At 43.9% G+C, this 25,174-nt stretch overlaps 6 annotated features.

Annotated features, from left to right (window-relative positions):
- Positions 2,455-2,534: an enhancer, noted in NCBI's record as "active region_3775". NCBI's record gives its function as "activates an Ori minimal core promoter by ATAC-STARR-seq in GM12878 lymphoblastoid cells {active_cell/tissue: GM12878}" and the evidence as "EXISTENCE:reporter gene assay evidence [ECO:0000049][PMID:35858748]".
- Positions 2,595-2,794: an enhancer, noted in NCBI's record as "active region_3776". NCBI's record gives its function as "activates an Ori minimal core promoter by ATAC-STARR-seq in GM12878 lymphoblastoid cells {active_cell/tissue: GM12878}" and the evidence as "EXISTENCE:reporter gene assay evidence [ECO:0000049][PMID:35858748]".
- Positions 10,354-10,909: an enhancer, noted in NCBI's record as "NANOG hESC enhancer chr10:94480033-94480588 (GRCh37/hg19 assembly coordinates)". NCBI's record gives its function as "activates a minimal SCP1, AML or CMV promoter by ChIP-STARR-seq in naive H9 embryonic stem cells {active_cell/tissue: H9 hESC(naive)}" and the evidence as "EXISTENCE:reporter gene assay evidence [ECO:0000049][PMID:30033119]".
- Positions 17,340-17,842: an enhancer, noted in NCBI's record as "NANOG-H3K27ac-H3K4me1 hESC enhancer chr10:94487019-94487521 (GRCh37/hg19 assembly coordinates)". NCBI's record gives its function as "activates a minimal SCP1, AML or CMV promoter by ChIP-STARR-seq in naive H9 embryonic stem cells {active_cell/tissue: H9 hESC(naive)}" and the evidence as "EXISTENCE:reporter gene assay evidence [ECO:0000049][PMID:30033119]".
- Positions 19,958-20,057: an enhancer, noted in NCBI's record as "active region_3777". NCBI's record gives its function as "activates an Ori minimal core promoter by ATAC-STARR-seq in GM12878 lymphoblastoid cells {active_cell/tissue: GM12878}" and the evidence as "EXISTENCE:reporter gene assay evidence [ECO:0000049][PMID:35858748]".
- Positions 20,268-20,317: a silencer, noted in NCBI's record as "silent region_2624". NCBI's record gives its function as "represses an Ori minimal core promoter by ATAC-STARR-seq in GM12878 lymphoblastoid cells {active_cell/tissue: GM12878}" and the evidence as "EXISTENCE:reporter gene assay evidence [ECO:0000049][PMID:35858748]".

A 25,174-nucleotide genomic window follows, 5' to 3' on the forward strand; every position in this document is an offset into this window, starting at 1 on the left:
GAATAATACAATATGTGATCTTTCGTGTCTTATTTATAAAACATTAGCATAACGTGTTTGAGGCTCATCCACCTTGTAGCATGTATCAGTACTTCATTCCTTTTTATGGCTGGACAATATTTCATTGTATAAATAAAACACAGTTTATTTATCCATTTGTTAGTTGATGGACATTTGGGTTGTTTCCACCTTTTGGCAATTGTGAGTAGTGCTGCTATGAACATGTGTGTCCAAGTACTTATTTGAGTATCTATTTTCAATTACTTGGGATATATGCCTAGGAGTGAAATTGCTGGGCCATATGACAATTGTATATTTAACTTTTTGAGGAAATTCTAAACCATTTTCCATCATCACTGTGCCATTTTACATTCCCACCAGCAATGTTTGAGGATTCCAGTTTCTCCGTCCTTACCAATACTTGTCCTTTTATAGAAAAATTATAGGCAAGCTCATGGGTATGAAGTGGTATATCATTGTGGTTTTGATTTGCATTTCTCTAATGACTAATGATGTTGGGCACCTTTTATATGCCTATTTGCATTTGTATACCTTCTTTGCTTTTTTATTTTTTATTTTTGAGTAGTCAAGTGCAGTAGTGAGAAGGGGGAAAGAGTAGAACAAGGAGTTCGATCTATAACTGACTGAACAATCAACTGAGATAACTCACTATGTTCAGACCAGCCTGTATACCTTCTTTGGAGAAATGTCTTTTCAAATTCTTTACTCATTTAAAAATTGTGTTGTTTGTCTTTTTTGTTGTTGAGTTGTAGGAGTTTGTTACATATTCTGGATACTAAACGATTATCAGATATATGATTTGCAAATATTTTTTTCCCATTCTGTAGGTTGTCTTTTCACTTTTTAAAAATTGATACACAACAATTGTACTTATTTAGAGGGTACACATGATATTTTGATATGTGCATACAATGTGTAATGATCAAATCAGGGTAACTGGAACATCCATCACCTCAAACATTTATCATTTCTTTTTGTTGAGAACATTCCACATCTTCTAGCTACTTTGAAATATACAATAAATTATTGATAACCATTCTTTCACTTTTTTGATAATGTCCTTTTTTGCATAGAAGTTTTTAATTTTGATGAAGTTCCATTTCTCAATTTTTCTTTTGTTGCTCAAGCTTTTGGTGTCATAGTTAAGAATCAATTGTCAAATCCAAGGTCATAAAGATTTAATCCTATGATCTCTTCAAAGAGATTTATTATTTTAGCTCTTATATTTGAGTTGTTGATTCATTTTGAGTTACTTTTTGGATATGGTATGAGGCAGCTTCATTCTTTTTTTTTTTAATGTTTTTTTTTTTTTTTGAGACAGAGTCTCACTCTGTTGCCCAGGCTAGAGTACAGTGGCGTGATCTCGGCTCACTGCAACCTCGGCCTCCTGGGTTCAAGCAACTCTCCTGCCTCAGCCTCCCAAGTAGCTGGGATTACAGGCATCTGCCACCAGGCCTGGCAAATTTTTGTATTTTTAGTAGACACAGGTTTCACCATGTTGGCCAGGCTGGTCTTGAACTCCTGACCTCAAGTGATCCACCCACCTCGGCCTCCCAAAGTGCTGGGATTACAGGCGTGAGCCATCATGCCCGCCCAAAGCTTCATTGTTTTGCAAGCCGATATCCAATTGTCCTAGTACCACTTATAGAGATTATGCTTTTCCCATTGAATGGTTTTAGCACCCTGCTGAAGATCAATTAACTATAGACATATGGGTTTATTTCTGTACTTTCTTTTTTTTTATTTTAATTTTTTTTGAAATGGAGTCTCACTCTGTTGCCTAGGCTGGAGTGCAGTGACGTGATCTCAGCTCACTGCAACCTCCGCCTCCTGGCTTCAAGGGATTTTCATGCCTAGCTTCCCAAGTAGCTGAGACCACAGGTACACGCCACCACGCCCAGATAATTTTTGTGTTTGTGGTTTTTTTTTTTTTTTTTTGAGACAGGGTCTTGCTCTGTCACCCAGGCTGGAGTGCAGTGGTGCGATCTTGGCTCACTGCAAGCTCCACCTCCCGGGTTCATGCCATTCTCCTGCCTCAGCCTCCTGAGTAGCTGGGACTACAGGTGCCCGCCACCATGCCCCACTAATTATTTTGTATTTTTTAGTAGAGACGGGGTTTCACTGTGTTAGCCAGGATGGTCTCGATCTCCTGACCTCAGGTCATCTGCCCGCCTCAGCCTCCCAAAGTTCTGGGATTGCAGGCGTGAGCCATCGCGCCAGGCCCTGAGCTTATTTTCTTAAGAATTACATACTGTCTCTGTCAAAGAGGAGAGATAATTGGTGCTTAATACATTGTTTACTTTAGGTTTACAAAAGGTTAGATAAACAAAAAGACTAAAAATCTGTTTGTACTAGTGAACATTTCTGAATTGGTAACCCACAGTTAGGTTGATAGATATACTGAAAGCAATTTTTCTTGTTCACATGTAGTACTTAATTTTTGTCAAGTTTGTGACTGCTCAGTTTTGCATCCTCCTTTGTCTTCCTCTTTTCATGACCTTATTTCTTCAGATGGATGTTTTGAGGTTATTTTCTATTTTGAGAAAACTATACAAATCTGATTTATTATCACAATAGCTCAAAAGTAGTTCCTGTTGAAGTTCTCCACATTGTCAATACTGTGACCTCCTGTCAGTCTCCTACACTGGATGGGAAACTCAAGCTGAGATTTCTCCAAAGTGCTTCCCACAGCGGCTGAACTAATTTCAATTACCACCAGTGGTATACAGGCGTTCCCTTTTCTCCACAGCCTCGCCAGCATCTGATGTTTTTTGACTTTTTAATAATAGCTGTTCTGACTAGTGTGAGATGGTATCTCGCTGTGGTTTTGATTTGCATTTCTCTGATGACTAGTGATGTTGAGCATTTTTTCATATATTTGTTGCCTGCTTGTGTGTCTTCTTTTGAGAAGTGTCTGCTTATGTCTTTTGTCCACTTTTTAATGTGGTTATTTGTTTTTTGCCTGTTGCATTATTTAAGTTTCTTATAATTTTGGATATTAGACCTTTGTCTGATGCAGTTTCTGAGTATTTTCTCTCCCATTCTGTAGGTTGTCTATTTACTCTGTTGATAGTTTCTTTTGTGTGCACAGGCTCTTTAGTTTAATTAGGTTCCATTTGTCAATTTTTGTTTTTGTTGCAATTGCTTTTGAGGACTTAGTCATAAATTCTTTCCCAAGGCCAATGTTCAGAATGATGTTTTCGAGATTTTCTTCTAGGATTTTTATAATTTGAGGTCTAACATTTAAATCTTTTAATCCATCTCGAGTTAATTTTTATGTATGGTAAGAGGGAAGGATCCAGTTTCGTTCTTCTGCATATGGATAGCCAGCTATCCCAGCACCAGTTATTGAATAGGGGAGTCCTTTCCCCATTGCTTATTTTTGTTGACTTTGCTGAAGATTAGATGGCTGTAGGTTTGTGGTGTCATGCCTTTTGAAGGTTTTTTTTTTTAATTTTTCACTTAGCACAATGCATTTGAGGTTTATCTGTGTTCATATGCTTATTAATAGTCCCTTTGTTTCTGAGTAGTATTCCATAGTATGGATGTAGCTCAGTTTGTTTATTTATTTGCTACTTGAAGAACATTTGAATTGTTTCCAGTTGGTGATTACAAATAAAGCAGCTATAAACAGTTCACTTAAATGTATTTGTGTAAACATATGTTCTCATTTCTCTTGGGTCGGTATCTAGGAATAGGATTCCTGAATTATAGGATAAATGAAGGTTTAATTTAATAAGAAACCGCCAAACATTTTCAGTTTTGTAGAGCCACCATAATGAATTACCATGGTCTTAGTGGCTTAAAACAATAGAATTTTATTGCCTTATAGTTCTGTGAGGCTCGAAGTCCAAATTCAAAATGTTGGCCAGCCCATACTCCCTCTGAAAGCTCTAGGAGAGAATTCTTCCTTCCTTTTTTTTTTCCTGAGACAGACCCGCTCTATTGCCTAGGCTGGAGTACAGTGGGGCAATCTCAGCTCACTGCAGCCTCTTTCTGCTGGGTTCCAGCAATACTCCTGCCCCAGGCTGCCAAGTAGCTGGGATTACAGGTGCCCACCACCTTGCCCAGCTAATTTTTGTCTTTTTAGTAGAGACAGCATTTCACTGTGTTGGCCAGGCTGGTCTCAAACTTCTGACCTTAACCTGACCTTAAGTGATCTGCCCGCCTTGGCCTCCCAAAGTACTGGGATCTTTGGGGTATCGATTTTCTTCCTGTAAACCTTTGTGGCCGGTGGCACCTTTGCCTGACTTCTTGTGTCCAGGAAGAATGAGGTACACAGACAAGTGAAAGGTGAAGAAGTCAAAGGGGAGCTTTATTTAGTGTTAGCACAGCTCAGAGGAGACCCACAGTGGGTAGCTCCTCTCTGTAGGCAGGTTGTCCCATGGAGTGTTCAGCTCTCAGCAGAGACGAGGCCCTGGAGAGGGTAGCTCCTCTCCACAGGCGGGTTGTTAAGAGCATCTCTGCTCTCAGCAGAGAGGGTAGCTCTTCTCTGCAGCTAGTCTTGCCATTGTCTCTCCATCCTCTGCCCTCTTCTTGCTGATCCCAGGGCTCAGAGGGGAGGAAGTATGTGTTGATTGGTCCATGGGCAGCCATAGGTGACCTGGAGGAGGCACAAGTCCCCACTCCAGTCTGCGGGACTGGCAGCCCAGCCCCCAGCCTTCAGGCCCTCTCTGGCCTGAAGGTGTGGCCTTACTGGAACCTGCTCCCTTCCCTCCAGGAATCTGTCTGCCTTCTGCTGCCATTCATGACCCCGGGGCTCAGCCCCAACCCTGCTTGGAGATTGGAGCAGGCACTGGGAGAGGAGAGGCCAGGCAATGGGAGCAGACAACCCCAGGCCTGCAGGTATGTTTGGGGAGGGGCCTTCTTGGGCCCCCGCGGGTGCAGGCTGCAGAGATGCCTGGGTCCTGTGCCTGGGAGGGCAGCTGCAGCTGCACTCTGGGAGCTACCACCCCTCCAACTTGGAAGCCTCTTCCTCTGCTTGTCCCTGGCTCCTGCCTGCTCTGTGGAGCAGGAGGCCCAGGTCTACAGCTGCAGGTCCAGGGGCTGCAGTTGCACCCAGGAGGGCAGATCCTGCCTGCTCCTGGCCACCCTCAAGAGTGAGGGGAGGCTTGCGTCCACAGCTGCAGTTTGGGTGCCCGTATCCCCACCCAGGGGGGCAGGGCCCCTGCCTGCTCAGTAGAGCAGGAGGCCTGGGTCTGTGGCCATGGTCAGCTGCCGTCATTGGGATGACAGTCATGAGCCACTAGCCTGACCCTTCCTTCCTCTTCTCACCTTCTGGTAGCTCCTGCAAACTTTGGAATTCCTTGGTTTGTAACTGTGTTACTCAATCTCTGCCTTTATCTGCACATGGCCTTCTCTCCTGTGTCTTTCTGTGTTTTTCCCTTTTTTTTTTTTTTTTTTTGAGACCGAGTCTTGCTCTGTCGCCCAGGTTGGAGTGCAGTGGCTCAGTCTCGGCTCACTGCAAGCTCCGCCTCCCGGGTTCACGCCATTCTCCTGCCTCAGCCTCTGAGTAGCTGGGACTACAGGTGCCTGCCACTGCGCCTGGCTAATTTTTTGTATTTTTAGTAGAGACGGGGTTTCACCGTGGTCTTGATCTCCTGACTTGGTGATTTGCCTGCCTCGGCCTCCCAAAGTGCTGGGATTACAGGCGTGAGCGACCGGTTTTTTCCTTTAAGGACACTAGTCATTAGGTTTAGAGCCCACCCTTATCAAGTATGATCTTACTTTAACTAATTATATCTGCAAAGACTCTATTTTCAAGTAAGGTCACATTTTTAGGTTCAGGATGGACATGAATTTTGGGGGGAACACTTATTCAGCCCACCCTGGTGGCTGTACCATGTCGCATTCCCTCTAGCAATGCCTGAGAGTTATAGTTGTTCCCAATCCTCACAACTTCAGGCTTAGCAACTTTAGGAGATAGAATAGTTTCATGAGAAGTCTCAGGACTGTCTCTCATTGGGCTGCCTTGGCATACATGCGTGTTCATCCTTGAACTTATCGCTACAGCCCAGACATGGAACATGATGGTTGGCCAGGATGTGGTCATATCCCTACTCCTAAAGGTAGGGATGGGGAGGGGTCAGTGCCACATGAATCACGTAAATTGATTGTGGATAAGGGGCTTCCTGGAAGAAAACTAGGGAGATGTTAACAGAAGAAGAGGAACTGAAAGATTGTCAGGTAAAAACAACTAATTTCCTCTACAAATAGGAAAGTGCCTTTTGCAACCGCTCCTTATCAGTTTCCAACAACTGCTGGAATCAAAGCAATTGATTGTTTTCTATGTGCCAGGCACTATGCCACGTGTTTTACATGGCTCCAAGTTCCCCAGCATTCCTCTGGGGAAGATTCCATTACTCTCACCTTTTTTTTTTCTTTTTTTTTTTTGAGGTGGAGTCTCGCTCTGTCACCCAGGCTGGAGTGCAGTGGCATGATTTCTGCTCACCGCAACCTCCACCTCCCAGGTTCAAGCGATTCTCCTGCCTCAGCCTCCTGAGCAGCTGGTATTACAGGCGTCTGCCATCATGCCCAGCTAACTTTTGTATTTTTAGTAGAGACAGGGTTTCACCATGTTGGCCAGGCTGGTCTTGAACGCCTGACTTGAAGTGACCGCCGACCTCGGCCTCCCAAAGTGCTGGGATTACAGGCATGATCCAACGTGGCCGGCTCACCCTTTTTACATGTAGGAAACTAAGACTTGGAGACTTTGGATAACATTGCAAAAGTCATGTAGCTATTAGGGGGTGACCCTGGATCCTGGGCCAGGTCTGCTAACATCAGTGCCCACTATACTGTCCTTGTATTTCTCCCCAGTCTCCCAACCAGCCAGTCTGTCCCTGTCTACCTTGATTTGACCCTTTCATTGACATGCATAATTTCTTGGAGTGGTAACTTTTTTTTTTTTTTTTTTTTTTTAACATTTCAGGGCTTCTCCTAGGGATAACCTCTGCTTCCTGCTGAGTTCTGGATCTAGAGCACAGGCAGGTTTCCTCCCCTTTCTCCTGTAGCTACTGAACTCTGACTTTGTAGTGGTGGAGTGTCTGGGGCCCAAGAGAGATTTCTGTCCTTCACCTGGCAATAGTAGACCGCTAATTTATATCAGAGTGTGTTTCTTGCCCCTCCCCCAGGGGCAGACAGGCACTACCTTGTCCTCAGACAAGGCTCAAAGCATGAATGGGCTTCCCTAGGTATGCCTGCTCCACCCTAAAACCTTGGCAGGTGCTGTAGGGCTGTACCACCAAGGGGGAAGGGTCTCCCAGGCCTACTGTGCTGTTTCCAGTCTTTCTCATGCATGCCGAGTAGAGGCCAGTGGAAAAGGATGGCAAGCAGATGGGGATTTCTCTGTGTCCAGCGTGCTCAGGGCTTCTAAACTGCCATGCTAGCTTATCCTTTGCCGGTAAGAATTTGTTTTCTTCTTATCCAGTTTTCTGATGATTGTCTGTTCTTCCCATTCTCTGCCAAAAGAGGAAACAGCTGGTGTGTCTTGTCCCTTTTTGGAAGGACTTGTGAGCCTTAGGAATTCAGTTCCCTTGATTGCTTTGTATAACAGCGCAATTCGCTGATGGACTAAAACAAAATTATGGTTTTGTATGTCTTATAGGTTATCCATTTTTTAATGTATTTATTTGACACATTGCGGGGTTTTTTTTTGTTTTGTTTTTGAGACAGAGTCTCACTCACTCTGTTACCCAGGCTGGTGCACAGTGGCACAATCTTGGCTCACTGCAACCAACCTCTGCCTCCCGGGTTCAAGCGATTCTCCTTCCTCAGCCTCCCGAGTAGCTGTGATTATAGGTGCCCGCCACTATGCCCAGATAATTTTTGTATTTTTAGTAGAGATGGGGTTTTGCCATGTTGGCCATGCTGGTCTCGAGCTCCCTCCTGACCTTAGGTGATCTGCCCGCTTTGGCCTCTCAAAGTGCTGGGATTACAGGCGTGAGCCACCGCGCCCGGCTGGTTATCCATTTTTCTCTTGTGTATGCCAGCCTCACAGAGTGTGGGATATGAGAAAGAAAGGATCCTAGGGTCGAATAAACTTGAGAAATTTGTCATGTCTTATCCTCTTCTGGATATTTACATGGCACATTCATATCTTAAAGACCCTGAGAATTCCTGCAAAATAGAGAAATACATATATATTGAGATGGAGTCTTGCTCTTGTTGCCCAGGCTGGAGTGCAATGGCACAATCTCGGCTCACTGCAACCTCCGCCTCCCAGGTTCAAGCAATTCTCCTGCCTCAGCCTGTCAAGTAGCTGAGATTACAGGCGTGCACCACCACACCTGGCTAATTTTGTAGTTTTAGTAGAGACGGGGTTTCACCATGTTGGTCAGGGTTGTCTCAAACTCCTGACCTTAGGCAATCCACCAGCCTCGGCCACCCAAAGTGTTGAGATTGCAGGCATGAGCCACCACACTTGGCCTTGAGAAATAAATTTAACTTTGTTTAACAAAGTGTCCCTAAAGTTTGTTTGATCATAGAACCCTTTGCTTGTGTAGCACTCATTATTTCCCTTAGAATTAATATTCTGTGAACACCGTTCGGAAAATAGAGGCTGGATGTTGATGTTTTATTGTCTGGGAACCTGGAACCAAAATAGAAAGCCAGGATCCGTAAAGATAGTAACAGAATTGTTGTGGGTATTTCTAGAACCAAAAGCCATCCTGGAGATTGGGTGGAGGTTCTGGGTGATACCGAGGCACTCAGCAACGGCCTTGGTCAGTAGTCCGTGTTTCATCTTGTATGCTATAACTTCAGAGATGGCCGGGTGTGGTCACTCACTCCTGTAATCCCAGTGCTTTGGGAGGCCGAGGCGGGTGGATCACTTGTGGTCAGGAGTTTGAGACCAGCCTGACCAACATAGCAAAACCTCGTCTCTACTAAAAATCCAAAAATTAGCTGGGCGTGGTGGCAGGCACCTGTAATCCCAGCTACTTGGGAGGCTGAGGCAGGAGAATTGCTTGAACCCGGGAGGCAGAAGTTGCAGTGAGCAGAGATTGCACCACTGCACTCCAGCCTGGACAACAGAGTGAGATTCTATCTCAAAACACAAACAAAAACAAAAACAACAAAAGACTTCAGAAAGGATACCTGGATGAATGAGACACAAAGTCAAAATAAAATGTCTGGAAGTCTCTAGATCATTCCATGGACTCTCCTTTCTGACACACCCATCTCACTCTCTGAAACCAATAAGAAATCTCTTCCTGGCCCCTGTGTTTATATGGCTTGCTCCGATGGCTGGTGCTCACCAACCCTGCTGTGGTTGGGGCAGACCCTGAATATGGAGCTGCTATGATATAGTAGGGCTGGATGCCAACCTGTTTTGTGGATCTTCATCCTAGTTGTAAATGATTTCTCAGCCTCAAATTAAAACTCCTTGGCTTCTGGGCCCTGGTCTACCCCAGGGATTTGAGAGTGGGCATTTGGTCTCTCTGCTCTGTGCCCCTCAGTTCCATCACCATCCCTTGAAGTAGCCTAGACACCTGTTGTTTTCAGCTCCTTGCACCCTTTTTATTTTTGCTCATGGGACACCACCTCTCTCCTCCATCCCATATTCAGGTGGGTCTGCCCGTCCATAATTGCTGGTAGGGACCAAAGCTGGGGTTCAAACCCAAAGGGTCTGATTCCAAAACCCACTTTCATAAAAATTACTCTAGCTTGCTTCTTGGTACCAAATTACATTGCTTTTCATTGCATTTAATTTTTAATACTCTAGATCGTGAAATACACTACAGAGTTTCTCTCCAGTCATTTGGATAACCACATGTCAGACAATATCTGAGTCAAGGTTTAAAATTACAGAAAATAAACCAAAGTTCTCATCTCACAACAGGGAAAAGTATCATCTTACTAGTTTTAATGGTGGCAAAAAATTAAGGTTCTGTTTGAAAAATTATTTTTTCTCTAAGATCCTTAGTCCTTTTTATTCCTCAACTACATCAGCTAAAATGTGGCCATGTATGATGATTATGGAAGTGAAGAGCTTTTTCTGAAGGATACTAACCTAATTACTCTGGAAATATCAACCATGAATCAAGAAGTATATTATGACTTAATTGTTCATTGCACAAAATTTAGATAATCACTCATTTCTTCCATGCCTTCCCTCTCTCCATCTAGAAGCGTATTTAACTAAGTAATCAGGGGTACTAACTATTCACAGCCTAGGCAAGTGTAGGGAAATAACCACCTTAATAACACATTGGCAGCCTCAGAAATGGCTGGCTATGAATAAGCACATAGCACTTAGTCTGCTCCTTCTTATGTGTTTGCCAATACATTTGCAATTTCATGCACAGTTTTAAATGTTAAGCATTAATCTGAAATGGGCACTGAAGCATCAGTAAAGTCTACAATTTGCCCCCTTTAATGAAAATGCTAGATATAGATTTAATGCAAAACTAAACATTTGGCTCAATATGTTCTACTCCAGTAAATTAGCTAGTGTTTGTCATCTTTTTAAAAAAACAGGGGCTGAATGCCTCATTTCACATGGTTTTGTTAGGGACAGATAGAAAGCTGATAAACAACCCATTTGTTCTATGACAGTAGCTCCTCGTCACACTACTGAAGTTAAGCTTCAGTGCTCATTTCCTTTACAAATCCTGTTGTGAGTTTAAGTGGCCTGCTGTTGAATATTTGACTGAAGTGTAGCCTTGACAAGAGTGTTTTCCCAGAGGAATACAGACGAAGCTTTTTTGGACAGTGGCCCTAGAGCAGTGGATTCTGAAATGACTCAGTGAACCTGAAAGGGAACAGAGCATCAGGGAGCCCTACTGTGCGCTATTTGAAACTGTCAGAGATGTTATCCCACAACAGCCTGAACAGGTTCATGTAATTGCCCTCTACTTGGCCAGATGAGGAAACCGAGGGCTAGAGATGAAGCTGTGTAGCTAGGAAGTGATGAAACCTGGATTTGACCCCACTCACTATTTCACACTGTCTGGCAGCTGGGAGCTGCCCTTCCTATATCTCTACCAGTGGTGCATTATTTGTCATTCAAGGAGCTTACACATGCCACCTCCTCCAGGAAGTCATTGCTGATTGCTCACTATTAACCATCCTTCTTATGTGTTTTTATTGTACTTTATCTGTTTCCAATGTAGTCCTTAGGACATTCTGCCTTTTGGTACATTAATTTAATACCTATCTGACTCTTTATAAGAGAAAGGGCTATCTCTTACATTGACCTTGTATATACTGCAGGACTTTCACTATCAAAGGCACTCGATAAATGTTCATTGAGGCTGGGCATGGTGGCTCACACTCCTAATCCCAGTACTTACAGTGGCCAAGGTGGAAGGATCACTTGAGGCCAGGAGTTTGAGACCAGCCTGTGAAACATAGCAAGATCTCATCTCTGCAAAAAAAAATTTTTTTTGAGACAGAGTCTCTCTGTGGCCAGGCTGGAGTGCAGTGGTGCAATCTCAGCTCACCGCAACCTCTGCCTCCCAGGTTCAAGTGATTCTCCTGCCTCAGCCTCCCAAGTAGCTGAGACTACAAGCTCGTGCCACCACGCCCGGCTAATTTTTCTATTTTTAGTAGAGACAGGGTTTCACCATGTTGGCCAGGATGGTCTCGATCTCCTGACCTCGTGATCCACCCGCCTCAGCCTCTCAAAGTGCTAGGCTTACAGGCATGAGCCACTGCACCCAGCCAAAACTTTTTTTAAAAAAATTAGCCAGGCGTGGTGGGGGGCACCAGTAGTCTGAGCTACTCAGGAGGCTGAGGTGGGAGGATCGCTTGAGTCCAGGAGGTTGAGGCTGTAGTGAGCTATGATTGCACCACTGCACTCCAGCCTGGGCGACAGAGTGAGACCTGTCTCCAAAAAGAGTTAAAAAACTGTTCATTGAAATGTTTATAAAATAGGTGGTTCTCAATATCTCATATCCTATTTCCAGAATTATGAAGAACAGTACAGTCAAGGGGGCAGGTCTTGCAGTAAGCCTGACGGGGTTTGAATCCTAGCTGTATGACCTTAGGAGAGTTGCAGAGCTTCTCTGAGTTTCAGATTCCTTCCGTTATAAAGCAAGGATAGGAATAGTATCTACTGCAAAAGGTTGTTGCAGAAGTCCAATAAGAGAAGGCACACATAGTGCTTAGAATAGTGCCTGGTACATAGAAAATGCTCACTGAACCTTGGCTATTATTTTCCAGAAATGTTTGGAGATTTTTATAGCATAGGCAAGAAACTTTGTGGCACTGGTTGTTTACCATTTTAAAACGTAAAAAAAAAGGAAATATTTGATTTGATTAATAGCTGAACTGACAACGTGCAAGAACCATTTAATAATGACCAATCATGAAAGGTTATGGAAAAAGAAATGATTTAAGAAGGCCAAGAGCCAGGCCAAGGTATTGGTAAGCCCTGAACTCATCACATGTCTGGAGTCGACAGTTCAATCAGTTCTAGTTTTGAATATGGGCAGGAGCTTTTTGTAAAAAAAAAGTTTTGGGGCAATATGCATATGGCTTTCTTTTCTTTCTTTCTCTTTTCCTGCCCCCTGGGCAATATGTGTACTGCTTTCTGAGAATGAGTTTCCAAATAATTGTGTACCTACTGATGCAGGTGTCATAATTTCCAAACCCATCCAATCAATATGTACCAGACAGAGATCTGCTCACAGTTCAGAGAGCTAATTTGGTAACTCCAGTGGGCCATTCTGTTCCTTGTTCTGGATAACCAACTAACTAACCTACTGCCTATTGAACACTATTTGACTTGGGTAAGCCCCTCAACATCCCTTTGAGCTTGAATCTTCTTACAGATAAATATGGATCAAAATATGGATACCTCTCCTTCCTTTCCCTCTTTGGACCTCAGTTTCTCATCTGTAAAATGACCAGGTGGCCTCTTAGTCCCTCCTCTGGCTAACCTTCCATGGTTCTGCCTCCCGGGGATGCTGTAAAGTCAGTTCAATGATACTGACTAAACTGCTGTGAACTTCCTGACCCAGGGCCCAGCTGGACACCAACTGACTAGGAGAGTTGATGGCTACACAGGGAAGAACTGCCTCTCCTCAGCTGCCGGACAGGGAAAGGAGGGGTGGGGCAGCTGCTGATGGCTATGTCTTCCCCTGTGTCCTGGTCACCTGGCCTCTGCTTGCATGCAACAACTCTATTTTTGAACAGGAGGTGGGTGGCAGGAGGGCCCAGAGGTCTGAATTTTCTTAAACAGCCAGGCATCCTTGGGCTGACACGGTGTCCTAGCTCTCATCAAAGGACATGATGAATATATATAAAGCGAAGCTACATGAGCAGCCCACTGTGAAGGGAGGAGAAGGGCAGGAGGTCTTGAAGCCTAGATTCTTTGGCTCCAGGTGGCTGGAAAAGTCAATAGCTCTAGACAGTTTCCCAAGCCGGCTGCGCACCAGCAGCACTTGGAAAGGTAGTTTGAAGTACAGATTTGTGGGCTGTAGCTTAGAACACTCTGATTCAGTAGGTGAATGGCCTGAGCATCTTATTTTTAGCAAACTCCCCAGGTGGTTCTCGTGCACAGCGAGGCTTGGGAATCCCTTTGGTTTAGGTCATGGGGAGATAGAAGTGATAAGAGAAGAATGGCTGGTGAAGCACATCAGCTCCACCCATGCTCCAGTGGGGTCAGTAGTATGTGGCATCCCAGCTCATTCCAGCTGTGCCATGGTTGTGTCTTAAAATCTCAAAGCCTCGATGCTTATTTCTAAAATGGGAATCATACTGACAACCCCATAGTATCAATGTGAGGGTGAAATGGATGATGCCCATAAGGCACTTAGCAGGGGGCCTGGCACAGAGTGAGCATTGAATAAATGTCAGTTATTGTCATTATTGTTGTTGTTAACATTATTATGGAGGGCCAGGTGCGGTGGTTCCCACTTGTAATCGCAGCACTTTGGGAGGTTGAGGTGCAAGAATTGCTTGAGGCCAGGAGTTCGAGACCAGCCTGGGCAACATAACAAGATCCTTTTTCTACACACACACACACACACACACACACACACACACACACACACACACACACCTACCTGAAAAAATTAGCCAGGTGTGGTGGTGCATGCCTTTAGTCCTAGCTACTCAGGGGGCTGAGGAGAGAGAATCACTTGAACTCAGGAGTTGGAGGTTGCAGTGAGCTATGATTGTGCCACTGCACTCCAGCCTGGGCAACAGGGTGAGACCTCATCTCTTAAAAAAAAAATTAAAAAGAAAAGATTTTTAAATTCTTAAGAAAAACCCAAACAAAAACCATTATTAACTAATGAAGCACTTGGCCATTCCTGGCTGTTGTTCTCTTCCTTATTGTAGGGTGGGTGTCTTAGTTTGGGCTGCTAGAACAAATATAACAGACTGGGTACTTAAACAACAAGCATTTCTTTCACACAGTTTTGGAGACTGGAAGTCCAAGGTCAAGGTACCGACAGATCCAGTGTCTGGAGCGGGCCCACTTTCTGGTTCATAGATGGCTGTCTTCTCACTGAGTGCTCACATGGCAGAGAGCAGAGAGACACAAGAAGCAACCTCTCATGTCTCTTCTTAGAAAAGCATGAATCCCATTTCTGAGGGCTCTACTCTCATGATCTAATCACCTCCCAAAGCCCCTGCCTCCTAATTCCGTCACACTGGGGGTAAAGATTTCAGCATATGAATTCTGTTCAGTCCGTAACAGTGGGATAGCCCTGGACAACATCTAAGGTCTTGTTTGCTAGATGATTTGCTCCAGAGCCCCCAAGGAACTGCACTTGTAACACATTTTACAAAGATGACTCATGAAAGTAGGGCTAAAAAATGTTAATATTATTCAATCTGGGTGATGAGTATTTAACTGGCTATTAAGATATTCCTTCAATTTCCTTGATATTTGAAATATTTCATAACAACAACAGCAACAATAAACTAAGCTAATATTCATAAATGCCAGCTGATTGGTTCATGTTAATCCCAGCTGGTGTGACCTTGATCAAAATGGGTAAGCAGGCAAAATGGCCTTCAGGACCCTCCAGCTGTGTGACTATACTCCCCTCTTTGAGACCCCTGTCAGTCCCTCCCAAGTTCTTCAGCCACCCAAGACCTCCCTTCCTCAAGGACCTGTTCTTCCAGAGCTCCTGATCTCATCTTGGAGCTAGTTTGATTGGAGGTATTAACAGTTGATGGTGGCTTAATTTCGATTTCTGCTTTTTCTCATAAACCAAGTGGCATACACGTCAGACCCCTGCCTGTGAGTGATGAGGACATTTTGATGGAGGGTGAAAGTTGTACACTACCCTCGCAAACTACTAGGTGTAAAGCTGCTCCCTTTTTGCATGGAAAGGTCAACTCCATTTCAACATTATAATGTTCAGTTTCTGTTCAGAGCAATTCAGAATGGTGCCAAAACAACTGCTCAATTCAGGCTTGTGTGTGTGTGTGTGTGTGTGTGTGTGTGTGTGTGTTTAACCTGTCAGTTTGTTGGTTGAAAAAAAAAGTGATGAGTTGCCTTTATGTAAACAAAATAGCCAGTTAATTGACTGGGATTTTCACTTTTTAACCAGTCATCATTGCAAAGACAAAGAGAACTTTTGCTAAGTTGCTTTTCACAATGTCACACAGTCAAACAAGCACACATTCAAGGTGAGATTTTCCTTTAGTTACTATCCTTCTCTGGTGTGAATACCTAACCTGATATCAAATCTTTCTCTTCTTCCTTCACAGTCCTCCAGATGTGCTTTGATTTCCTTAGTGTCTTAGTTTTCTCCTGAGGAGCCACCTCTCTCTCTTGGATACCTGCAGCGCTGCCCAAACTTCAATCATTCCCATATGGCTCTCCTGGTTTTTGCCATATCCATGTACCACCCTTCCTATCATTGAACCAGCTTTCTTTACATAAAATCACTTAGAAAATAAGTTTATTTTTGCCAGGCACGGTGGCTCACGCCTGTAATCCCAGCACTTTGGGAAGCCGAGGCCGTTGGATCACCTGAAGTCAGGAGTTTGAGACCAGACTGACCAACATGGTGAAGCCCCATCTCTATTAAAAATACAAAATTAGCCGGGCATGATGGTACATGCCCGTAATCCCAGCTACTTGGGGGACTGAGGCAGGAGAATCGCTTGAACCCAGGAGGGAGAGGTTGCAGTGAGCCAAGATCGCGCCATTGCACTCCAGCCTGGGTGACAAGAGCGAAATTCCATCTTGAAAAACAAACAAAAAAAAGAAAAGAAATTCATTTTTAAAGAGTACTTAACATTATTACCATAAATGGAAAACCAGTATTACCATACATAGAGGGTAACCATAAAAATTAACATAGTGAAAACAAAAAGCAGTGTTCCTAAATTCTAGCTGGATTCCCTAATAAGAATCTTGATCTAAGACCTGCTTTCTCTTTGTTAATAAAAAAATAAAGGGGGGCCGGTCACAGTGGCTCACGCCTGTAATCCCAGCACTTTGAGAGGCTGAGGTGGGCGAATCACTTGATGTCAGGAGTTCCAGACCAGCCTGGCCAACATGGCAAAACCCCATCTGTACCAAAAATACAAAAATTACCTCAGCGTGGTGGTGCATGTCTGTAGTTTCAGCTACTCGGGAGGCTGAGGCAGGGGAATCACTTGAACCTGGGAGGCAGAGGTTGCGGTGAGCCGAGATCATGCCACTGCACTCCAGCCTGGATGACAGAGTGAAACTCTGTCTCGGGAAAAAAAAAAAAAAAAAAAAAAGGAGTCTCAAGTGTTAAAGTTTAAAAACATATAGCACCAAACTCAGATTTTTCCTCCTTCATTTAATCCAAGCAACCAAAAAAGCTAATAACCTCTTTAAGTAATTGTTATTTAATGCCTACAATGATCCCTTATGCTAAAAGTAGCCACATCCCACTCTTTGGAGCTCTGGATCCTTGCAAATTGTCTTCCAATCAGACTACCTGCTTCTATTCTGGCCTTAATACCTTGAATGCCCAAGCCACCCACTCCCTTGTTAGCTTTGGAGTCTTGCATTCTTTCCCAGCGTCTTCTACAAGTCTCTTCAGGCCTTTGTACCTCACCTCACTTGCCACTCATTCAGGTCCACATAGATGCTAATTTTGTGAGCATTTTTCCTAAACCCTGCCTCAAAGACTTCCAAGGAAGGCTGACAGTGTGTCACTTAGCCTCTCAGAGGCTCCATTTCCTCATCTGCAAATCAACGAAGTCTAATCATTCTGGCCTCACAGACTGTTGCGAGGATTAAATGATCCAATGGAGAGAAAGTGCCTTGCACAATGGCCGTAATACATGCTCAATAAGCGGCAGCACGTTGTTAGCCATGGAGTCATCCAGTCTGACTCCAGTGTCAACTTCTTTCAGTCAGTTCTTGAACTACCTCTTAGCCCTTGCTACACACATTCACTGGCTCTTACAAATGCCAATAAGCTGTTGGTTTACTCAAACTCCTGGTCAGTGATGGTTGATTGTCTGGAATGCCATGTGTGTTTGCTTGGTGTATCTCAGACCTGGAGTAGCTACGGAAGTCAAGGAGTCCTGCAAGGGAGTGTGATTGGATAGCATGTCCTACTGTTCCCACCAGAGAGATTCATGTCTTCGTGGACAGCTTTTGTTATCCTCCCTTAGTGGACGTAAGTAGAGGGACAGTTTTTACAAGGGACTGTGGCCATTTGCTCTCAAGAGGCTTTGGAGTCTCCTCCTGAGTATGAGGCACTAAGTTCCCATGGTAAGATCAGTTTCTTTGTACAAGCCTCTCCAGCCCGTCTTTGCCTTACACACTAGACTCTTGGGACCGGGGCTCATCCTCTTATAAAAGGATGCCAAGCAGAGGGTCATACAGTAAAGGGAGGTAAACATTCTTTTAAACTAGTTTATCAATTCAACACAGCACAGTGGTGTTGGGTTACCAGGGTCAACAGCCAGCAGTCACATTCCTCAGCTGTTCGATTGGGGCAATGCATTAACAAACAGCCAGGGAAACTCTTTTTGATTAATTATGTTGATAAGTTTTTTTTGTAGTGTGCTACAAGCTCTTTTAATTTAATCTGCTTGGACAGCAGCCCATTCAGGTGAAATGTCTTGACTTATCTAAAGAAGCACTGATGAGAAGGCTACTGGGCCTGGGATTTTACTGTACTATCATGTAATCATTAACACATGTGGCTACTGTTTTCCTGCATTTTGATTTTCTTCTTGAAAGGAAGGACATGTCTGTGGGGTGGGGGTATTAGGGAAGTAAGGATGAGACCCAGCAGCAGTGACAGGAAAAGAGGATGCTATTACTAGCTGAGCCTGAAAACACTATCTTTATTGCCAGGAGTAAAAGTATTTGAAAGCACTAATAATGGCTTCAGTGAATACTCATCTTTTAAAAAAGAGCAAAGGATGGCGAGGACATAGTTCTCTCAAAGAGTGGAAGTCTTCTAGATTAGGGTTGTCCAATCTTTTCACTTCCCTGGGCCATGATGGAAGAAAAATTGTCTTGGGCCACACATAAAATACACTCACAGTAATGATAGGTGATGAGCTAAAAAAAAAAATTGCAAAAAAACCTCATAATGTTATAAGAAAGTTTATGAATTTGCATTGGGCTGCATTTAAAGCCATCCTGGGCCACGTGTGGCACATGGGCCGCGAGTTGGACAAGCTTGTTCTAGATCAAGGTTTCTCAACCTTGGAAATACTGGCACTTTGGGCTGGATAAGGCTCTGTTGTGGGGTGCCTGTCCTGTGCACTGTAGGATGTGTAGCCTTTTCCCAGTAGGTGCCAGCAGCACCCCTCACCCCCACAATTGTGATAACCAAAAAGATCTGTAGACATTGCCAAATGTCTCCTGGGGCACAAAATTGCCCCCAGTTGAGAACCACTGTCCTGGATGTACAGATTCAAATCTTAAGTAGCCTATTATGACTCTCTGCTGATCTCTTTTCCATCACCTCATTTAAGACACAATTCAACACATAGCTCTTCCAGGGGGCCCATCCTCACTGACTTCTTTGTCATCTGTCCTCCCTACATTAAGACCTTGGGTCTATACTATCTTCTCCTTCCTTCTCTTCTTCCTCTTCTCCCTTCTTGTTTTTTCATCCACAGAACTCTGTTCTGAGCAACTGTTCAATATCAACTTGTGAATTAACCAGGGAATTATTTCTCCTTTATGTTTGTGACAGACATCTATCTCAGAGGCAACCCAGACAAAATTTCCCAAATTATCCAAAAATAAAATGAATATTCTCTGATTAAAAACAGATGTCTAGGCCGGGCACAGTGGCTCATGCCTGTAATCCCAACACCTTGGGAGGCTGAGGGGCTGGATCACCTGAGGTCAAGAGTTCGAGACTAGTCTGGCCAACATGGTGAAACCCCGTCTCCACTAATAATACAAAAATTAGCTGGGTGTGGTGGTGGGTGCCTATAGTCCCAGCTACTCAGGAGGCTAAGACAGGAGAATTGCTTGAACCCGGGAGGCGGAGTTTGCAGTGAGCTGAGATAGAGCCACTGCACTGCAGCCTGGTCAACAGAGCTAGACTCAGTCTCAAAAACAAACAAACAAACAAACAACAGAAAAAAAAAAACACAGACATTTAGGCCAGGCACAGTGGCTTGTGCCTATAATCCCAACACATTGGGAGGCCAAGGAGGGAGGATTGCTTGAAACACAGAGTTCAAGACCAGCCTGGGCAATGTAGTGAGACCCTGTCTCTATGAAAAATAAGAGAGAGAGAGGGAGAGAGAAAGTAAAAAATACATGTCTAAATGGGGGCAGTTTAAATTTGAGGTGAGAAGTGGCAGGAAGAAGTGGCAGAATTACAGAAATTAAAAATAGCTCACACTCTGCAAGCACTTAATCCACTATATGCCACATGCATTATCTCATTTAATTCACACATTATCCCCATTTTGTAGAGGAGGAAATAGAGTTTTAGTGAAGTGAAGTAATTTGTGCAAGTTCCCAGAGTCGAACTGGCAGTGTGAGGATTTGAACCTGGGCAGCTTGATCCTGGGGTGGGTCCTCAGCCCCTGTTCACACAGTTAAAGTCCTAAAGGGGTGGAAGGTCACCAAATAAGGCTGAGGACCAAGGGCAGGATGACTTTTCAGGAGCTGTAAGAACAACTTGTCTGAATTCTAGAGGCCCCAGCTTTCAGTGTCTGGACCTATGCAAATCTGCAAGTGAATGTGGTCCTATTTCTTTGTTTCCATCTGTCTTAGTGAAACTGGCCCTGCTTAGCGGTGTGGAGTATTGCTTTCCCAGTTTAGAAAGTTAATTTATAAAGACAGCTGAAGTGAAGAATATGGTTCAAGAGGGTGCCTCAGCTAGCAGGTGCTGGGGGAGTGGGGTGGGGGTGGGGAATATAGGGCTGGAGAATCACGAAATAAATTAAATCTTTGACATTTGATGACTGTGGGAGAAAAACATGTGTGGACATAGATCCAAAGCCTTGGCAGTACCTATCCCTTACCTGTCCTAAGCCCCGTTTTTTGCTCATTTTGTATTTCTCATACGAAAGCACAAAGTTGTAGTTTCCAATTTCTTGGTGGCAAAATTGTGGCAAACATTGAAAAATATTTGAAAAAGATTTCCCTTTGCTCTTCTCCTTCTCCTTCTCCCTCTCCCTCTTCCTCTCCTTCTCCCTCCCCCTCCCTTCCTCCTCCTCCTCCTCCTCCTCCTCCTCCTCCTCCTCCTCCTCCTCCTCCTCCTCCTCCTTCTTCTTCTTCTTCTTCTTCTTCTTCTTCTTCTTCTTCTTCTTCTTCTTCTTCTTCTTCTTCTTCTTCTTTCTTCTTCTTCTTCTTCTGTGTTTGTTTTTTTGAGATGGAGTCTCACTCTGTTGCCAGGCTGGAGTGCAGTGGCTCGGCTCACTGCTGCAACCTCCGCCTCTGGGTTCAAGAGATTCTCCTGCCTCAGCCTCCCAAGTAGCACAGCCATCATGTCTGGCTAATTTTTGTATTCTTAGTAGAGACGGAGTTTTGCCATGTTGGCCAGGCTGGTCTTGAACTCCTCTCCTCAAGTGATTCACCTGCCTCAGCCTCCCAAAGTGCTGGGATTACAGGCGTGAGCCACCATGCCTGGCCTCTAGCCTCCTCTTGAGCCACCTTTTCTTCATACTGTGTTGCAGCCATACTGGCCTTTCCACTATTCCTGCCTCAGGACCTTTGCACATGATGGTTGCTTTACATGGGTGCTGACTCCTTTGCCCAGGTAAGCTCCTCAGGTCTTTGTTTACATATCACTTCCTCAGAGGGCCTTCCTGACTTCCTTCTCTAAACTGATTTCTTTCTTCACTATTCTCTCAGCACTTCTTTTTTTGGGGGAGGCAGGGAACACAGTCTCACTTTGTTGCCCAGGCTGGAGTGCAATGGTGTGACCTTGGCTCGCTGAAACCTCCAACTCCTGGGTTCAAGGGATTCTTTGCCTCAGCCTCCCAAGTAGCACACGCCATCATGCCTAGCTAATTTTTGTATTCTTGTAGAGACGGGGTTTCACCATGTTGGCCAGGCTGGTCTCAAACTCCCGTCCTCAAGTGACCTACCTGCCTTAGCCTCCCAAAGTGCTGGGATTACAGGCGTGAGCCATGATGCCTGGCCTTCTCAGCACTTCTTTTGGAGAATTTTCCATAACTTAATGTTTGTCTCCCAACTACACTATAAGTTCCCTGAGAACAGGGACTTAGCATTCCATATGGCAATGGCACACAATGGCCTGGCACACAGTGTTTTATAAATATTTGTTGAGGGAATACATGAAGTCTAGACTGAATATTTGGTTGATTTGGAAGCAGTTGTGTGTTTCCTGCCTTTTAACTTTAAAAATGTGTGAAAATTTTCAAATGTACATAAAATTAGAATAATACAACGAGCTTTTATATACACATCACCTAGATTCACCAATTGTCAAGATTTTGCCACATTTACATGATTTTTTCCCTTTTTTAACTTAAAATTTTCCCTAGCCTTCTAAAGGCACAGAAACATTAGCTACCATTCATTGTGTTTACTATGTGCCAGTAAATGTGCTACATGTTTCTTTCTTTCTTTTTCTTTCTTTCTTTCTCTTTCTTTCTTTCTTTCTCTCTCTCTCTCTCTCTCTCTTTCTTTCTTTCCTTCTTTCTTTCTTGAGACAGAGTTTCGCTCTGTCACCCAGGCTGGTGTGCAGTGGCGAGATCTCGGCTCACTGCAACCTCTGCCTGCCAGGTTCAAGTGATTCTCCTGCCTCAGCCTCCTGGGTAGCTGGAATTACAGGTGCCTGCCACCATGCCTGGCTAATTTTTTTGTATTTTTAGTAGAGACGGGGTTTCGCCATGTTGGCCAGGCTGGTCTCGAACTCCTGACCTCTCGGCCTACCAAAGTGCTGGGATTACTAGGCATGAGCCACCACTCCTGGCCTAAATGTTTCTTACACATGTTGTTATTTAATCTTCTCAACAACTCTGCTGTGGGTATTATAACCCTATTTTAGAAAGGTGGACGCTGATACAGTGTAAGTCACTTTATGCAGTGTTCCCACTTTAGTAGGTGGAAATCTGGGACTCCAAAGTTCATGTTCTGAACTATCAAACATTGCTCTTTATAGATTTAATCAAACACATTTCTCTCCCACCTGCCCTTTCTTCTTCATACCTACAGACTTCTAAATGTTTGAAACATTTTTATTGTGCCTAACCTGTAGGGCAAGTGCTCTAGTGCCTGTGAAAAAAGAACAGCAATTGGCTTTATTATTCTCCTAATAAAAAATCAATTTGGCAATAAACATTTATTGAACCCTTTTTTATTTATCAAGCACCATGTTAAGAGCTGGGGAGACAACAGTGAATGAAATAAATATTGTCTCTACTCTTATGGAGCACAGTAGAGTCAGGTTCTCCAACAGTAATTCAGATAGTTTGTGGTTGGATCCACCCTATATAAACATCCTCTTGGCTTTCCAACTGAGACCATAGGTTTACAATGAGCAAAGTAAGATGGAGCAGCTGACGCTGAGGGTTCAAAATAGTCACCTCCACTATTTAGAGGTTTCTTCTCTGACACTCCCCTCTACTTTTTTCCTTGCCCTCTGTTTCCTGACTACCCTGGAGCAGTACCGCTTTCATCTCTGACTGGACAAAGGAAGGGACAAGATGTGTAATTCAAAATTACTCTGATAGCTACACAGGTCTTCTGTGTACAGTTGTGCAATTTGTGCACTGCACAAAGACATCTGGTTGAAGAGCTGGCTGGAGCTGAAATCCTGCTTGTGCCCCATTTGCCAAGGGGTGGCCCCACCTGGGGCTCTACCAGCCTTGAGGAAGGGCCTCTTTTTCTACCTACCAAGATTCCCATGGTGGACACCAGGAGCCACGGGTCCATGAGCTACAGAGGCATCCCATGAACTTGAGGAAGCCCTCTTGGCCAACCTAGAAAGAGAATGGAAAGGGAGATCATTGAAACAGCTGGGTCAAATTGAAATTTTGGATTATGTGTGAAACTCACCATTTGTACTCTCCATGTCGCCCATGGACTCAGTGGATGGAATTCAAAGTGCCTTCAGGTTTGATGGCAGTAAGAATGCCAGTTCAACACAGGAAAAAGGCATGGTGGTTAAAAGCATACACTTTATAGGGTACATAATGTGACTTGAGAGACTTCTTGCCAGCAAGCAATAGAAGAGAATGGAAGAATTGGTAACAATTTTCAGGTGGTTTATTTCCTAGACTTAATTCCTAGAGCTAAGCAGATCACCTCATCATAATGACGAAGAGAATACTAACACCTGCACAGCCCTCTCCAGCATAAACCAAGAGGTTTTTCACAGGGAGTACATTCATTGTTTTTCTGATTGTGTATAGCAATATTAATAGCTTTCATTTAGTAAGCACAGATACGTGCAGGACATTGTACTGAGAATTTCACCTACATTGCTTTATTGAATTCTCTTTATATCCCCATAAAGGAGGTATGATTATGTTTTATGCATGGGGACACTGACATTTGAGTTACTCAAGGTCATATAATAAAGAAGTGGTACAGCAGGGCTTGAACCCTTGCCTTTTGACTTCAAAACCCACACCTGGCCATGCGCAGTGGCTCACATCTGTAACCTAGCACTTTGGGAGGCCAAGGTGGGTGGATCACTTGAGGTCAAGAGTTCGAGACCAGCCTGGCCAACATGGTGAAACCCCATCTGTACTAAAAATACAAAAATTAGCTGGGCATGGTGGCAGGCACCTGTAATCCCAGCTACTCGGGAGGCTGAGGCAGGAGAATCGCTTGAACCCAGGAGGCCAAGGTTCAGTGAGCCAAGATTGCACTGCTGCACTCCAGTCTGGGTGTCAGAGCAAGACTGTGTCTCAAAAAAAAAAGAAAAAAGAAAAAAGAAAAAAAGAACAAAACCCACACCTGGAACCACCACGCATGCCTGTTTTGGGGGAACAGTCTGTTCTGTTAGGTCTCTATCCTGGCCTGGGGGACCTACCACACACATCTCAGACTTCTGTTCAAACATATCCAACTTCCTCCAAGTTGGGACCTTTTTTAGCTTTCTTTTCTTGAATACCCACTGCCTTCATGCATAACTGATGAATAGGAATCCTTCTTGGGCAGTGCAGCTAACTGGCCACTTTTTCTCAGTATTATCACAATTCACACTCATGTCACAAGCCACACCCCAGCCAAGGTCTTTAACCTCTGCCAACCTCATGGCTCAGTAGAAGCACTGCTATAAGTATATTAAAAAACTTTGTAAGGGTTTTTCTGCCAACCTCAATAGCTCAGCAGAAAACTGACATAAGAAAATATTTTAAAAACCTTATAAGGATTTTTCTCTTTGACAATCTCCCCACAGCTGTCCATAGGAGAGGACAGTAATCGAAAAGACGTGTCTTTTTGATTAATGGGATTTGGGGGGATCAAAGAGACTTCAGTTTAACAGGATGAAAAATGTCTTTCGTGGGAAGTTGGGGCAGGAGGTGTTGGCACTGAGAGATGGTTTTTATGGTCCTAAGATCACAGGTATGATCAGGTGTTGACGATAATTATTTTTTGTTTTGGGTTCAAGTGAGAGAATTGGTACGCAATTCTTGGCTAGCATGGTATTTTCTTTCACCTTTTAAATTGAAGAGTTTATAGTTTTTGTAAGACAAAGTTACCAACCTCATGATAATAATAACTCACATTTGTTTTGTACTTACCTTATAATGCTTTAAGTAGTTTATAAACATTCTTTTATTTAATCCTCACAAC

This window comes from Homo sapiens, chromosome 10 (genome assembly GCF_000001405.40).
Source record: "Homo sapiens chromosome 10, GRCh38.p14 Primary Assembly".
NCBI lineage: Eukaryota > Metazoa > Chordata > Mammalia > Primates > Hominidae > Homo > Homo sapiens.